At 40.3% G+C, this 18,258-nt stretch overlaps 1 protein-coding gene across 1 annotated transcript in view, besides 1 other annotated feature; it reads left to right on the forward strand.

The window, feature by feature from the left end:
• Window positions 1–18,258, forward strand: part of RPS6KC1 (ribosomal protein S6 kinase C1) — an 811,495-nt gene that overhangs the window by 569,888 nt on the left and 223,349 nt on the right. The gene's annotated exons all lie outside the window — the stretch shown is intronic.
• Window positions 666–835: an enhancer, noted in NCBI's record as "experimental_3904 CRE fragment used in MPRA reporter constructs". NCBI's record gives its function as "activates a minimal promoter by MPRAs in K562 erythroleukemia cells, with activity observed for both the introgressed and non-introgressed 1:213795222 variant alleles {active_cell/tissue: K562}" and the evidence as "EXISTENCE:reporter gene assay evidence [ECO:0000049][PMID:34662402]".

Genomic DNA, 18,258 nt, shown 5'->3' on the forward strand with positions numbered 1-18,258 from the left:
TGCCCCCACTACTCTCCTGGATTGTTGAAGGATTATTTACTGTGTTTGCCTTGACTTGAGCTATTTAATGTTTCCAAAACAGATGCAGCCGATTGATTAATGGCATTCCCCACTAAAAGTCAGAAATGTCAGAAACACGCGTAGAAGCCAGTGTCATTCTGGACTAGAACAATAGATACGGCTGAGAAACAGGGACCCACGCCAAGTATTCTTGAGGCTAGGAGTTCATGTGTCACTCTTCTGCTAAGAGACAGGTATATATAAGGGCAGGGAAAGCAGGAGTTTGTGGGTGGGGGGTGGGTTGGGGATGGCTAGGCATGTGCTAATAATAGGATGGGTCACATGACGCCTAAGTCACCTCAAAAGAAGCTTAGTTGGTGAAGGTGAATTAAAGTGCTCGGAATTAAGGACATTTCTTCAAATATTCCCTGACGTGTAAAAATAGACTGAAGGAACTAACATGTGTGATGAAGAGAGAATTGTGAGTTTAGACTGACCTCTGTTCAGAGGGCTTTTGTGATTTGCTAGGGGATAGTTAAGAGCAGGACCAGCTATATAATTTGTAGGGCCTAATGCAAAGTGAAAATGTGGGGCCCTTTATTCCAAAAATATAAGGTATTTTAAGATGGCAACTGCAGAGCATTAAAGTGTGGGCCCTTCTGAACACAAGCCCTAGGTGACTGTGCAGGTACCATACCCTGAAGTCGGTGCTGGTTAGGAGAACGTGATGCCCTATTTCTTTTAAGGATGGTGCAGCAACGAATGAATCTGGCAAGGATCTGAAGGGCTGGCCGACCCTGGGCAAAACTGTGGAAAGGACAGCCTGTTTGGGATCACTGTGTTAGCCCTGTATGCCCCTTCCTCTGCCCCTCCAAGCCTCTTCCTTCTTGTTACTTGGAGTTCCCCAACTCTCTCACCTCCTCATCTCCTCCCCTCAGAAAACCTGCCCACAGGACAGGATCTAAAAGAGTTCCAGACACTGAGGTGTACCTGACGAAATACTTGAAATGTTCCCCCTGCATATTTGTACTTCCACCAATGTTTAAGCCTTGGGAAAAAGCAATAATGGAATTTTAGGCATTACCCTGCTCGGGGACAAGTAATGTCTTTTTTTTTTTTTTTAAGCTCTGAAGTTTGTGCAGCACCCTTGAGATCACACTGTTACAGGCATGTACTTATTTTGCCAGTCGTGGAGGCCAGTGGCTTTCTGCTATCAGGGGCATTTATCCCTGAGAATGCAAGTTGCAGCCTCCTCTTTTGTGAATTGGAACTGGAAAGACCCTTTCTCCCATGTCAGTGGGCCGGACAGTAGGGCATGCTTAATTCCACAGGAAGTATCTACAGACTAAATTCCATTCGGTTGCACGTTTGTAGTCTCAGTGTCTCCCTCCATCCCTGCCCCTCCCGCTCCAGTGCCCACTCAGCTGTTTCACAGTGCACAGCTCACGACTCCTGAGCTGCCCTTTCCTTGACACTCTCTCTGAATACCAGCGGCACCCCTGCAGTCGGCTGCACGTATGTCTCTGGGCATTCCCTCCCCCTGACCCCCATAGGCACTTGATCCTGTGGGGGTCTTGCTGCTAGAAGGGACGGGGCTGGGAAATCACCTCTGGTCACCCCAAACCAGGCTTTGCTCCCTTTCTCTTGAACCTGCTGTGGCTTGCTTGTCCTTTCCCGGGCTTAATGTCAAAGGAAACGCCTTCTAAAACCACAAACCACTAGGGCCTCCCTTATTTCTCAGATTGACTTGGCTTCTAGGCAGTGGTTGTGGCCTACAAAGCCACGGCGTGAGTCCAGGAGAAAATCATTTCAGTCGCGCGAGGCCAGACAGCAGCTCAGCCTCACAGAGGAGGTTAATAATAGGGCCCGTCCTAGAGGCAGTCCAGGAAAGCCTTTGGAACTTTCTATCTTCAGATATGCCTCGATCGATCCATTCAGAAGCATTTTGTTCTCTAGGCCCCATCTCTGTGGCAACCTGGCTGTAGAAGGAAGGCGATTGCAGTTCTGGTTTTGAAACATCGGGCATGACTGTTGTAGGGTTTGAAGCCAAAACACATGGAGTAAATGAAAACCTCTGACTCACCAGGAATCACTCTTCGTTTTCAGACACATCAATCAGTCTGTCAACAGCATTGACTGAAGGTCTATTCTGTGAAGAACCATGGATGGGCACTGTGGGGAGATTTGCGGAACCGTGTATTAATAGTTTCATTCATCCATCCATTTATCTCGCCATTTAACTCAATTTAGTGAATTGAGTCAATCAGAAATACCCACTGAGCCTTACTAGCCACAAAACCCTGCCCTCGAGGGATGCCGGAAATATAAAGAGAGATAGCAATGTGTAAAAAGTCACCCATAAGCGCTTACAGTCTAATGAGGGACTGGTGGCAAAGGCAAATACATAAATAGATAAGACCAGGCAAACTATGACAAACATCACAAGAGAAGTTGACCAGGGGTGTTTCAGAGATTCAGAAAAGGGAACTGTCATACTGAGTTGGAAGAATTACAGAATGCAGTTCCTTATTAGGAACTCATTATTAGGCATATTAGCTATTCAGTGAGTATATGTTGAAAATTGTCATATAAAATAGGCTTGGATATAGGTTTTAGAGGTCTACCAGGAAATTAATAGGCAGAGGCAAGGGCAAGGCAGAGGTACAGTAGGTGGCAAAGACTGCTAGCAACACATCCGCTGAGGTCTGTGGAGGGCAGCAAGGTGCTGTGTGTATTCACCTGTCATCTTACCTTCCATCCACCTGCCCGAGATGTCGCACTGGGCAGTGAGGGGCAAAACCAGGGTTACCGCTGGACACTGAAGAAGCAGTGAGGTTCTAGAAAATATTTGCAAGCTAAAAAGCAGCATTGTGTGTGGAGGGGCAACAGAATTGAGGTGTGATGGTTCACTGGAGACTTCATTACAGATGGGGAAGTGGTCAGAGGTAGAACAAAAACCGCAGGGCAGAGCCAGAGCCTGGGTAAGCAGACAAGGAGGCTGGATATAGATGCTGAGAGGTGACCACTGAGGCTCTGTGACCTAACCTCCAGACAGGCACTTGGGCATGGCACTAACTTTAAAGGGCTGGCATATGATACTACCTACATATTAAGCACTTGCTGTGTACTCAGCATTGTGCCAGGTGAGAAAAAGGTCATTTCGTGTTTGGAGTAAATGCAATGTATGAAATGTATGTATGCAATGATCTTTGTCCTGACAGAGCTTAGAATCCAGTTGAGCAAGCTAGGATGGGTAGAAAGGAAACAAGAAGAGGAGACTATGAAAGCGATTGCCAGAGTGTACATGGAAGGGCTGAATAGTTGCAGGACTTGAAAGGATTAACTGCAGTCCAAACTGACTTCATAAATATTGAAGGGCTTCCTGGTTGCAAAAGCAGTCATGGAGAGCTTGTTGGAGGAGGTGAGATTTGAACCAGCCTTTCAGTAGTGGCTAGTCAGGGATGTCCAGGCTGGATGGTCAGGCCTGGGCTGGGGAACTCTGCCTCAGCCTACAGCACTGCCCATAGGCCCAGCCACCCACTACGCTTAATAGCCAGGAGGCTGAGCAGGTCTGAGGAGGCTTCTGGACCTGTGGTGCTCAGGATCCCTCTTTTTGCCGTGTTCTCACTTGGTGGAAGGGGCGAAGGAGCTCTCTGGGGTCTCTTTTATAAGGGCACTAATCTCCTTCATGAAGTCTCTGACTTCAAGACCTAATTGCCTTCCAAAGCCTCACCTCCAAATACCATTACATTGGGGATTAGGTTTCAAGATATCAATTTGAGGGGCGACATAAACATTCAGTCTATAGCATAGATTAAGCATGTTCCCTCTTAAAAGTTATTTATTTATTTATTTTGTTTTGTTTCTTTTCCAAGACAGAGCCTCACTCTGTCGCCCAGGCTGGAGTGCAGTGGTGTGATCTCCATCACTGCAAATTTCCACCACCCGGGTTCAAGCGATTCTCCTACCTCAGCCTCCCGAGTAGCCCGCCTTGGCCTCCCAAAGTGCTAGGACCACGCCTGGCCAAAAGTTATTTATTTTTAAAACACAAGTAATATAGTAATAACATTTCAGTGTAAAAAAAGAAAAAGAAAAAAAAGCAGTTTCTTTAGATGCTTCCTATTCCACCTATTCTCACAGAAAGTCCTGTTCCTGATTTATTGTATGTCTTAGAGACTTTGTACTATATTTTTATATGTGTGTACTTATGCAATATTCTTTTTAATATATAAATGGTAACATGCAGTATGGAAAGATTTGAAATTTGCTTTTGTTTCCCCATTTACAAATATGTCTTGGGGCTCTTTTTTTTTATTATACTTTAAGTTTTAGGGTACATGTGCACAACGTGCAGGTTTGTTACATATGTATACATGTGCCATGCTGGTGTGCTGCACCCAGTAACTTGTCATTTAACATTAGGTATATCTCCAAATGCTATCCCTCCTCCCTCCTCCGACCCCACAACAGTCCCCGGTGTGTGATGTTCCCCTTCCTGTGTCCATGTGTTCTCATTGTTCAATTCCCACCTATGAGTGAGAACATGCGGTGTTTGGTTTTTTGTCCTTGCGATAGTTTGCTGAGAATGATGGTTTCCAGCTTCAACCATGTCCCTACAAAGGATATGAACTCATCATTTTTTATGGCTGCATAGTATTCCATGGTGTATATGTGCCACATTTTCTTAATCCAGTCTATCGTTGTTGGACATTTGGCTTGGTTCCAAGTCTTTGCTATTGTGAATAGTGCCGCAATAAACATACGTGTGCATGTGTCTTTATAGCAGCATGTTTTATAATCCTTTGGGTATATATCCAGTAATGGGATGGCTGGGTCAAATGGTATTTCTAGTTCTAGATCCCTAAGGAATCGCCACACTGACTTCCACAATGGTTGAAGTAGTTCACAGTCCCACCAACAGTGTAAAAGTGTTCCTATTTCTCCACATCCTCTCCAGCATCTGTTGTTTCCTGACTTTTTAATGATCGCCATTCTAACTGGTGTGAGGTGGTATCTCATTGTGTTTTTGATTTGCATTTCTCTGATGGCCAGTGATGAAGAGCATTTTTTCATGTGTCTTTTGGCCTTATAAATGTCTTCTTTGGAGAAGTATCTCTTCATATCCTTTGCCCACTTTTTGATGGGGTTGTTTTTTTCTTGTAAATTTGTTTGAGTTCATTGTAGATTCTGGATATTAGCCCTTTGTCAGATGAGTAGATTGCAAACATTTTCTCCCATTCTGTAGGTTGCCTGTTCACTTTGATGGTAGTTTCTTTTGCTGTGCAGAAGCTCTTTAGTTTAATTAGATCCCATTTGTCAATTTTGGCTTTTGTTGTCATTGCTTTTGGTGTTTTAGACATGAAGTCCTTGCCCATGCCTATGTCCTGAATGGTATTGCCTAGGTTTTCTTCTAGGGTTTTTATGGTTTTAGGTCTAACATTTAAGTTTTTAATCCATCTTGAATTAATTTTTGTATAAGGTGTGAGGAAGGGATCCAGTTTCAGCTTTCTACATATGGCTAGCCAGTTTTGCCAGCATCATTTATTAAATAGGGAATCCTTTCCCCGTTTCTTGTTTTTGTCAGATTTGTCAAAGATCAGATAGTTGTAGATATGTGGCATTATTTCTGAGGGCTCTGTTCTGTTCCATTGGCCTATATCTCTGTTTTGGTACCAGTACCATGCTGTTTTGGTTACTATAGCTTTGTAGTATGGTTGAAGCCAGGTAGCGTGATGCCTCCAGCTTTGTTCTTTTGGCTTAGGATTGATTGGGCGATGCGGGCTCTTTTTTGGTTCCATATGAACTTTAAAGTAGTTTTTTCCAATTCTGTGAAGAAAGTCGTAGGTAGCTTGATAGGGATAGCATTGAATCTGTAAATTACCTTGGGCAGTATGGCCATTTTCACGATACTGATTCTTCCTACCCATGAGCATGGAATGTTCTTCCATTTGTTTGTATCCTCTTTTATTTCATTGAGCAATGGTTTGTGGTTCTCCTTGAAGAGGTCCTTCACGTCCCTTGTAAGTTGGATTCCTAGGTATTTTATTCTCTTTGAAGCAGTTGTGAATGGGAGTTCAGTCATGATTTCGCTCTCTGTCTGTTATTGGTGTATAAGAATACTTGTGATTTTTGCACATTGATTTTGTATCCTGAGATTTTGCTGAAGTTGCCTGTCAGCTTAAGGAGATTTTGGGCTGAGAAAATGGGGTTTTCTAGATATACAATCATGTCATCTGCAAACAGGGACAATTTGACTTCCTCTTTTCCTAATTGAATACCCTTTATTTCCTTCTCCTGCCTGATTGCCCTGGCCAGAACTTCCAACACTATGTTGAATAGGAGTGGTGAGAGAGGGCATCCCTGTCTTGTGCCAGTTTTCAAAGGGAATGCTTCCAGTTTTTGCCCATTCAGTATGATATTGGCTGTGGGTTTGTCATAGATAGCTCTTATTATTTTGTGATATGTCCCATCAATACCTAATTTATTGAGAGTTTTTAGCATGAAGGGCTGTTGAATTTTGACAAAGGCCTTTTCTGCATCTATTGAGATAATCATATGGTTTTTGTCATTGGTTCTGTTTATATGCTGGATTATGTTTATTGATTTGCATATGTTGAACCAACCTTGCATCCCAGGCATGAAGCCCACTTGATCATGATGGATAAGGTTTTTGATGTGCTGCTGGATTCAGTTTGCCAGTATTTTATTGAGGATTTTGGAATCGATGTTCATCAGGGATATTGCTCTAAAATTCTCTTTTTTTGTTGCATCTCTGCCAGGCTTTGTTATCAGGATAATGTTGGCCTCATAAAATGAGTTAGGGAGGATTCCCTCTTTTTCTACTGATTGGAATAGTTTCAGAAGGAATGGTACCAGCTCCTCCTTGTACCTCTGGTAGAATTCGGCTGTGAATCCATCTGGTCCTGGACTTTTTTTGGTTGGTAAGCTATTAATTATTGCCTCCATTTCAGAGCCTGTTTGGTCTATTCAGAGGTTCAAGTTCTTCCTGGTTTAGTCTTGGGAGGGTGTATGTGTCGAGGAATTTATCCATTTGTTCTAGATTTTCTAGTTTATTTGCGTAGAGGTGTTTATAGTATTCTCTGATGGTAGTTTGTATTTCTGTGGGATCGGAGGTGATGTCCCCTTTATCATTTTTTATTGCATCTATTTAATTCTTCTCTCTTTTATTCTTTATTAGTCTTGCTAGCGGTCTATCAATTTTGTTGATCTTTTCAAAAAACCAGCTCCTGGATTTATGGATTTTTTGAAGGGTTTTTTGTGTCTCTATTTCCTTCAGTTCTGCTCTGATCTGTTACTTCTTGCCTTCTGCTAGCTTTTGTCTTTTTTTTCTTTCTTTTTAAATTATACTTTAAGTTTTAGGGTACATATGCACAGCATGCAGGTTAGTTACATATGTATACATGTGCCATGTTGTTGTGCTGCCCCTATTAACTTGTCATTTAACATTAGGTATATCTCCTAATGCCTTCTGCTGGCTTTTGAATGTGTTTGCTCTTGCTTCTCTAGTTCTTTTAATTGTGATGTTATGGTGTCAGTTTTAGATCTTTCCTGCTTTCTCTTGTGGGCATTTAGTGCTATAAATTTCCCTCTACACTCTGCTTTGAATGTGTCCCAGAGATTCTGGTATGTTGTGTGTTTGTTCTCGTTGGTTTCAAAGAACGTCTTTATATCTGCCTTCATTTCGTTATGTACCCAGCAGTCATTCAGGAGCAGGTTGCTCAGTTTCCATGGAGTTGAGCAGTTTTGAGTGAGTTTCTTAACCCTGAGTTCTGGTTTGATTGCACTGTGGTCTAAGAGACAGTTTGTTGTGATTTCTGTTCCTTTACATTTGCTGAGGAGAGCTTTACTTCCAACTGTGTGGTCAGTTTTGGAATAGGTGTGGTGTAGTGCTAAGAAGAATGTAGATTCTGTTGATTTGGGGTGGAGAGTTCTGTAGATGTCTATTAGGTCTGCTTGGTGCAGAGCTGAGTTCAATTCCTGGGTATCCTTGTTAACCTTCTGTCTCATTGATCTGTCTAATGTTGACAGTGGGGTGTTAAAGTCTCCCATTATTAATGTGTGGGAGTCTAAGTCTCTTTGTAGGTCTCTAAGGACTTGCTTTATGAATCTGGGTGCTCCTGTATTGGGTGCATATATATTTAGGATAGTTAGCTCTTCTTGTTGAATTGATCCCTTTACCATTATGTAATGGCCTTCTTTGTCTCTTTTGATCTTTGTTGGTTTAAAGTCTGTTTTATCAGAGACTAGGATTGCAACCCCTGCCTTTTTTTGTTTTCCATTTGCTTGGTAGATCTTCCTCCATCCCTTTATTTTGAGCCTATGTGTGTTTCCGCATGTGAGATGGGTTTCCTGAATACAGCACACTGATGGATCTTGAATCTTTATCCAATTTGCCAGTCTGTGTCTTTTAATTGGAGCATTTAGCCCATTTACATTTAAGGTTAATATTGTTATGTGTGAATTTGATCCTGTCATTATGATGTTAGCTGGTTATTTTGCTCGTTAGTTGATGCAGTTTCTTCCTAGCCTCGACGGTCTTTACAATTTGGCATGTTTTTGCAGTGGCTGGTACCGGTTATTCCTTTTCATGTTTAGTGCTTCCTTCAGGAGCTCTTTTAGGGCAGGCCTGGTGGTGACAAAATCTCTCAGCATTTGCTTGTCTGTAAAGGATTTTATTTCTCCTTCACTTATGAAGCTTAGTTTGGCTGGATATGAAATTCTGGGTTGAAAATGCTTTTCTTTAAGAATGTTGAATATTGGCCTCCACTCTCTTGTGGCTTGTACAGTTTCTGCCGAGAGATCAGCGCTTAGTCTGATGGGCTTGCCTTTGTGGGTAACGTGACCTTTCTCTCTGGCTGTCCTTAACATTTTTTCCTTCATTTCAACTTTGGTGAATCTGACAATTATGTGTCTTGGAGTTGCTCTTCTCAAGGAGTATCTTTGTGGCATTCTCTTTATTTCCTGAATTTGAATATTGGTCTGCCTTGCTAGATTGGGGAAGTTCTCGTGGATAATATCCTGCAGAGTGTTTTCAACTTGGTTCCATTCTCCCCGTCACTTTCAGGTACACCAATCAGACGTAGATTTGGTCTTTTCACATAGTCCCATATTTCTTGGAGGCTTTGTTTCTTTTTATTCTTTTTTCTCTAAACTTCTCTTCTCACTTCGTTTCATTCATTTGATCTTCCATCACTGACACCCTTTTTTCCAGTTGATCAAATCGGCTACTGAGGCTTCTGCATTCGTCATGTAGTTCTTGTGCCTTGGTTTTCAGCTCCATCAGGTCCTTTAAGGACTTCTCTGCATTGGTTATTCTAGTTAGCCATTCATCTAATTTTTTTTCAAGGTTTTTAACTTCTTTGCCATGGGTTCGAACTTCCTCCTTTAGCTCGGAGTAGTTTGATCATCTGAAGCCTTCTTCTCTCAACTCGTCAAAGTCATTCTCCATCCAGCTTTGTTCCATCGCTGGTGAGGAGCTGTGTTCCTTTGGAGGAGGAGAGGTGCTCTGATTTTTAGAGTTTTGTTTTTCTGCTCTGTTTTTTCCCCATCTTTGTGGTTTTATCTACCTTTGGCTTTGATGATGGTGATGTACAGATGGGGTTTTGGTGTGGATGTCCTTTCTGTTTGTTAGTTTTCCTTCTAACAGTAAGGACCCTCAGCTGCAGGTCTATTGGAGTTTGCCGGAGGTCCACTCCAGACCCTGTTTTCCTGGGTATAAGCAGCGGAGGCTGCAGAACAGCAGATATTGGTGAACAGCAAATGTTGCTGTCTGATTGTTCCTCTGGAAGTTTTGTCTCAGAGGAGTACCTGGCCGTGTGAGGTGTCAGTCTTCCCCTACTGGGGCATAGGACCCTCTGAGCCAGGTGTGGGATATAATCTCCTGGTGTGCCGTTTGCTAAGACAGTTGGAAAAGCGCAATATTAGGGTGGGAGTGACCCGATTTTCCAGGTGCCATCTGTCACCCCTTTCTTTGACTAGGAAAGGGAATTCCCTGACCTCTTGCACTTCCCTGGTGAGGCGATGCCTCACCCTGCTTTGGCTCATGCTCTGTGTGCTGCATCCACTGTCCTGCACCCACTGTCTGTCACTCCTCAGTGAGATGAACCCAGTACCTCAGCTGGAAATGCAGAAATCACCCATCTTCTGTGTCGTTCACGCTGGGAGCTGTAGACTGGAGCTGTTCCTATTCGGCCATCTTGGCTCCACCAATCTGGGGCTCTTTCTATGCCAAAAAAAAAAAAAAATAGATTTACTCTATTCCTCTTACAGGGTGTATTGTATTCTAGTGAGTAGGTATATTTTCTTGGCTGTTCCTTTACTGATGAACTTTAGGATGTTTACAATTTTTTGTGATTACAAACAATGTCAGAATGAAGATACCTGTAAAAACCTCATTGAATATGTATATGAATGTTTTTCTATACAAAAATTATAATCACTGGGCCATTAAGTATATTTAATATTCTAATAGTTAAATTTTCTTTTTAAATGGCTTACCAATTTAATCTTCCACCAGTAGCCTTCTAGTGTATTGATTTTCCCCAAAATCTTGTCTTGATAAGTGTGTTGATTTTTGCTAATCTAATGGGTATAAAAATGGGGCTTCTCTCTTTATGTTTTAAGTTAAAATATAACATTATTTTTAAAAATATGGGTTTTTTGCCCTACAAAACTATATTTTAAAAGTATTACACAGTAAAATTAGCTGTTTTCTTTTTGATGTAGAGTTCTAGAAACTTTAACACATGCACAGTTGGGACTCTCTCTCCCCTTTTCCTACCCCTGGCAAACACTGATCTCTTCTCCATCATTGTAGTGTTGTCCTTTTGAGAATGTCACATAAATGGAATCATACAGTATGTAACATTTTAAGGTTTGCTTCTTTTATTCAGCATAATGCTTTTGAGATTCATGAGACTTGTTCCATAATATCAAGAGGTTTTTCCTTTTAATTGCCTAGTAATATTCCACCATACACTTTTATCAGCGTTTGTTTATTCACTCACCCAATGAAGGACATTTGGGGTGTTTCAGTTTTTTGAAATTGTGGATACAGCTGCTGCAAACATTTGTGTCAGGTTTTTATGTGAACATACGTTTTCATTTCCCTAGAGAAAATACCAAGGGGTATCCCCATTCCAAGATAGCCAAATAGGAACAGCTCCAGTCTGCAGCTCCCAGCATGATTGATGCAGAAGACAGGTGATTTCTGCATTTCCAACTGAGCCTCCACTGGTGATACCCAGGCAAACGGGGTCTGGAGTGGACATCCAGCAAACTCCAACAGACCTGCAGCTGAGGCACCTGACTGTTAGAAGGAAAACTAACAAACAAAAAGGAATAGCATCAACATCAACAAAAAGGACATCCACACCAAAACCCCATCTGTAGGTCATCAACATCAAAGACCAAAGGTAGATAAAACCACAAAAACCAGGAGAATCTAGAGCAGAAAAGCTGAAAATTCTAAAAACCAGAGCGCCTCTTCTCCTCCAAAGGATCGCAGCTCCTCGCCAGCAATGGAACAAAGCTGGATGGAGAATGACTTTGATAAGTCGACAGAAGCAGGCTTCAGAAGGTTGGTAATAATGAACTTCTCCGAGCTAAAGGAGGATGTTCAAACCCATCGCAAGGAATCTAAAAACCTTGAAAAAAGACTAGATGAATGGCTAAGTAGAATAAACAGTGTAGAGAAGACCTTAAATGACCTGATGGAGCTGAAAACCATGGCATGAGAACTACGTGACGCATGCACAAGCTTCAACAGCTGATTTGAACAAGTGGAAGAAAGGGTATCAGTGATTGAAGATCAAATTAATTAAATAAAGTGAGGAGAGAAATTTAGAGAAAAAAGAGTAAAAAGAAACGAACAAAGCCTCCAAGAAATATGGGACTATGTGAAAAGACAAAATCTACGTTTGATTGGTGTACCTGAAAGTGACGGGGAGAATGAAACCAAGTTGGAAAACACTCTTGAGGATATAATCCAGAAGAACTTCCCCAACCTAGGAAGGCAGGCCAACATTCAAATTCAGGAAATACAGAGAACACCACAAAGATACTCCTTGAGAAGAGCAACCCAAAGACACAAAATTGTCAGATTCACCAAGGTTGAAATGAAGGAAAAAATGTTAAGGACAGCCAGAGAGAAAGGTCAGGTTACCCACAAAGGCAAGCCCATCAGACTAACAGCAGATTTCTCAGCAGAAACTCTACAAGCCAGAAGAGAATCAGGGCCAATACTCAACATTCTTAAAGAAAAGAATTTTCAACCCAGAATTTCATATCCAGCCAAACTAAGCTTCATAAGTGAAGGAGAAATAAAATCCTTTACAGACAAGCAAATGCTGAGAGATTTTGTCACCACCAGGCCTGCCTTACAAGAGCTGCTGAAGTAAGCACTAAACATGGAAAGGAACAACCGGTACCAGCCACTGCAAAAGCATGCCAAAATGTAAAACCATCGATGCTAGGAAGAAACCACACCAACTAATGGGCAAAATAACCACCTAATATCATAATGACAGGATCAAATTCACACATAACAATATTAATCTTAAATGTAAGTGGGCTAAATGGCCCAATTAAAAGACACATACTGGCAAATTGGATAAAGCGTCAAGACCCATCAGTGTGCTGTATTCAGAAGACCCATCTCAAGTGCAGAGACACACAGAGGCTCAAAATAAAGGGATGGAGGAAGATCTGCCAAGCAAATGGAAAGCAAAAAAAAAAAAAAAAAAAAAAAAAAAAAAAAAAAAAAAGCAGGGGTTGCAATCCTAGTCTGTGATAAAACAGACTTTAAACCAACAAAGATCAAAAGAGACAAAGAAGGCCATTACATAATGGTAAAGGGATCAATTCAACAAGAAGAGCTAACTATCCTAAATATATATGCACCCAATAAAGGAGCATCCAGATTCATAAAGCAAGTCCTTAGAGAACTACAAAGAGACTTAGACTCCCACACAATAATAGTGGGAGACTTTAACACCCCACTGTCAATATTAGACAGATCAATGAGACAGAAGGTTAACAAGGATATCCAGGACTTGAACTCAGCTCTGCATCACATGGACCTAATAGCCATCTACAGAACTCTCCACCCCAAATCAACAGAACATACATTCTTCTCAGCACCACATTGCATTTATTCCAAAATTGACCACATAGTTGGAAGTAAAGCACTCCTTAGCAAATGTAAAAGAACAGAAATCACAACAAACTGTCTCTCAGACCACAGTGCAATCAAATTAGAATTCAGGATTAAGAAACTCACTGAAAACCACACAACTACATGGAAACTGAACAATCTGCTCCTGAATGACTATTGGGTAAATAATGAAATGAAGGCAGAAATAAAGATGTTCTTTGAAACCAATGAGAATGAAGACACAACATACCAGAATCTCTGGGACACATTTAAAGCAGTGTGTAGAGGGAAATTTATAGCTCTAAATGCCCATAAGAGAAAGCAGGAAAGATCTAAAATCAACACCCTAACATCACAATTAAAAGAACCAGAGAAGCAGGAGCAAACAAATTCAAAAGCTAGAAGAAGGCAAGAAATAACTAAGATCAGATCAGAACTGAAAGAGATAGAGACACTAAAAATATGAGAGGGGAAATAAAAAATCCATAAAGTTAAAAAAAAAAACCCTTCAAAAAATCAATGAATCCGGGAGCTGGTTTTTTGAAAAGATCAACAAAATTGATAGGCCCCTTGCAAGACTAATAAAGAAGAAAAGAGAGAAGAATCAAATAGACACAATAAAAATGATAAAGGGGATATCACCACCGATCCCACAGAAATACAAACTACCATCAGAGAATACTATAAAGACCTCTATGCAAATAAACTAGAAAATCTAGAACAAATGGATAAATTCCCGGACACATACACCCTCCCAAAACTAACCCAGGAAGAAATTGAATCTCTGAATAGACCAATAACAGGCTCTGAAATGGAGGCAATAATTAAGAGCCTACCAACCAAAAAAAGTCCAGGACCAGATGGATTCACAGCCGAATTCTACCAGAGGTACAAGGAGGAGCTGGTACCATTCCTTCTGAAACTATTCCAATCAATAGAAAAAGAGGGAATCCTCCCTAACTCATTTTACGACGCCAGCATTATCCTGTCACCAAAGCCTGGCAGAGACACAACAAAAAAAGAGAATTTTAGACCAATATCCCTAATGAACATCGATGTGAAAATCCTCAATAAAATACTGGCAAACCGAATCCTGCAGCACATCAAAAAGCTTATCCACCACGATCAAGTTGGCTTCCTGGGATGCAAGGCTGGTTCAACATATGCAAATCAATAAACATAATCCATCACATAAACAGAACCAATGACAAAAAACATATGATTATCTCAATAGATGCAGAAAAGGCCTTTGTCAAAATTCAACAGCCCTTCATGCTAAAAACTCTCAATAAACTAGCTATCGATGGAATGTATCTCAAAATAATAAGAGCTCTTTATGGCAAACCCACAGCAAATATCATACTGAATGGGCAAAAACTGGAAGCATTCCCTTTGAAAACTGGCACAAGACAGGGATGCCCTCTCTCACCACTCCTATTCAACATAGTGTTGGAAGTTCTGGCCAGGGCAATCAGGCAAGAGAAAGAAATCAGGGGTATTCAAATAGGAAAAGAGGAAGTCAAATTGTCCCTGTTTGCAGATGAAATGATTGTATATTTAGAAAACCCCATTGTCTCAGCCCAAATCTCCTAAAGCTGATAAGCAACTTCAGCAAAGTCTCAGGATACAAAATCAATGTGCAAAAATCACAAGCATTCCTATACACCAATAACAGACAAACAAAGAGCCAAATCATGAGTGAACTTCCATTCACAATTGCTACAAAGAGAATAAAATACCTAGGAATACAATTTACAAGGGGTGTGAAGTACCTCTTCAAGGAGAACTACAAACCACTGCTCAAGGAAATAAAAGAGGACACAAAGAAATGGAAGAACGTTCCATGCTTATGGATAGGAAGAATCAATATTGTGAAAATGGCCATACTGCCCAAGGTAATTCATAGATTCAGTGCCATCCCTATCAAGCTATCAATGACTTTCTTCACAGAATTGGAAAAAACTACTTTAAAGTTCATATGGAACCAAAAAAGAGCCCTCATTGCCAAGAGAAACCTAAGCAAAAAGAACAAAGCTGGAGGCATCATGCTGACTTCAAACTATACTACAAGGCTACAGTAACCAAAACAGCATGGTACTGGTACCAAAACAGTATATATAGACCAATGGATCAGAACAGAGCCCTCAGAAATAACACCACACATCTACAACTCTCTGATCTTTGACAATCTGACAAAAACAAGAAATGGGGAAAGGATTCCCTATTTAATAAATGGTGCTGGGAGAACTGGCTAGCCATATGTAGAAAGCTGAAACTGGATCCCTTCCTTACACCTTATACAAAAATTAATTCAAGATGGATTAAAGACTTAAATGTTAGACCTAAAACCATAAAAACCCTAGAAGAAAACCTAGGCAATACCACTCAGGACATAGGCATGGGCAAGAACTTCATGACTAAAACACCAAAAGCAATGGCAACAAAAGCCAAAATTGACAAATGGGATCTAATTAAACTAAAGAGCTTCTGCACAGCAAAAGAAACTACCATCAGAGTGCACAGGCAACCTACAGAATGGGAGAAAAATTTTTGCAATCTACTCATCTGACAAAGGGCTAATATCCAGAATCTACAAAGAACTTAAATAAATTTAGAAGAAAAAAAACAACCCCATCAAAAAATGGGCAAAGGATATGAACAGGCACTTCTCAAAAGAAGACATTTATGCAGTCAACAGACACATGAAAGAATGCTCATCATCACTGGCCATCAGGGAAATGCAAATCAAAACCACAATGAGATACCATCTCACACCAGTTAGAAAGGTGATCATTAAAAAGTCAGGAAACAACAGATGCTGGAGGATGTGGAGAAATAGGAATGATTTTACACTGTTGGTGGGAGTGTAAACTAGTTCAACCATTGTGGAAGACAGTGTGGCAATTCCTCAAGGATCTAGAACTAGAAATACCATTTGACCCAGCAATCCCATTACTGGGTGTATACCCAAAGGATTATAAATCATGCTACTATAAAGACAATGCACACGTATGTTTATTGTGGCACTATTCACAATAGCAACCAACTATGACTTGGAACCAACCCAAATGTCCATCAATGATAGACTGGATTAAGAAAATGTGGCAGTGGGTGGGGGTGGGAGGCAGGGGGAGGGATCGCATTGGGAGAAATACCTAATGTTGGTGACGAGTTGATGGGTGCAGCAAACCAACATGGCACATGTATACCTATGTAACAGGCCTGCACGTTGTGCTTATATACCCTAGAACTTAAAGTATAATAATTAAAAAAATTAGCAAATACCAAGGGGTAGAGCAGGATTACTGGTTGAAATGATAAGTTTATATTTAACTGTACGAAACCGTGAAACTATTTTCCAGAGTAGCTGTGTCATTTTGCATTCCCACCAACAATGTAGGAGACTTTCAGTTGCTCTGTATCCTCACCACCTAGCCCTTGGTAATGCCAGTACTTTTTATTTTAGCCATTCTAATAAGCATGTAGTGGTATCTCATTATGGCTTTTTGTTTTGTTTTGTTTTTGTTTTTGTTTTTTTAGGTAGTGTCTCACTCGTTTGCCTAGGCTGGAGTGCAGTGTCATTGGCTCACTAAAGCTTTGACCTCCTGGACTCAAGTGATCCTCTCTCTTCAGCCTCCCAAGTAGCTGGGACTATAGCTGTGCACCATCACACCTGGCTAATGTTAAAATTTTTTTTGTAGAGATGGAGTCTTGCTGTATTGCCCAGGCTGGTCTACAACTTGTGGGTTCAAGCAATCCTCCTACCTCAGCCTCCCAAAGTGCTAGAATTACAGGTGTGAGCCACTGTTCCTGGCCTTATTGTGGCTTTAATTTACATTCCCCCAATAGGTAATGATGTTAAGCATCTTTTATTTGCCCTATAGGTATCTTTTTTGATGATATATTCAAATTTTTGCCGAATTTTTAGCTGGATTGTTTCTTTTCTTATTGTTGAGTTTTGAAAATTCTTTAAATGTTTTGTTTGAATTGTGATTTGCAAATATTTTCTCCCAGTCTGTAGTTTGTCATTTCATTCTCAGAGCAAAAGTTCTAAATTTTGATAAACTCTAATCTTTCAGTTTTTCTTTTATGGATTATCCTTTAGTTTTCATGTCTAGGAGGTCTTCACATAATTCAGGTCGTGAAGATTTTCTCCTATGTCTTCTTCTAAAAGTTATACATTTTAAATTTAAATCTATGATTCACTTTTAGTTACATTTTATATAAGGTTTGAGGTATAGGACAAGATTTGTTTTGGGTTTTTTTTGCATATAAGTGACTAATTGGTTTAAAACCATTTGTTGGAAATACTATTTTTACTTTATTAAGTTGCTTTTGCACTTTTGTCACATATTAGATGGGTAAATTTGTATGGGCCTGTTTTTGGTCTTTATTATGTTCCATTGATCTATTTGTCTAATCCTTTACCAATACCATGTGTTTTGAATACTGTAACTTTATAGTAAGTATTGATATCATGTAGTTAGATTTCTTCAACTTTATTCTTTTCCCAAGTTGCTTTGCCCATTCTGGGTCCTTTTCATTTCTGTGTGTGTTTTAGAATCTGCCTACCAATTTCTGCAAAAAAGGCATGCTGGAATTTGGTTGGTACTTGATTAAATCTATATCTCAATTTAGGGAAAGCCAATATCTTTAGTATGCTGAGTCTTCTATGCCATGGATATTTTGTCTCTCCATTTATTTATGTCCTCTTTGATTTCTTTCATCAGCATACAGTTTTCAGCATATATACTCTGTATATGTTTTGTAAGGCTTATTCCTAAGTATTTCATTTTGTTTGAGCTATTGTAAATGGTATGGTTTAATTTCAGTTTCCAATTGTATGTTGTTACTATATAGAAATACAATAGACATTTTTGTATTGACATTGTATCCTATAACCTTGCTGAACTCACTTTTCTCTAGGAGGTTTTTGGTAGAGCCCTGAGATTTTCTATGCAGGTGATCATGTCATCTGTGCATAGAAACGGCTTTATTGTCTTCCTTTAAAATCGATCTGCCTTTTATTCCTTTTACTTGCATTATTGCACTGGATAAGACTTCCAGTATGATGTTGAATGAGA

The sequence above is a fragment of the Homo sapiens genome, chromosome 1 (genome assembly GCF_000001405.40).
Source record: "Homo sapiens chromosome 1, GRCh38.p14 Primary Assembly".
Classification (NCBI taxonomy): domain Eukaryota; kingdom Metazoa; phylum Chordata; class Mammalia; order Primates; family Hominidae; genus Homo; species Homo sapiens.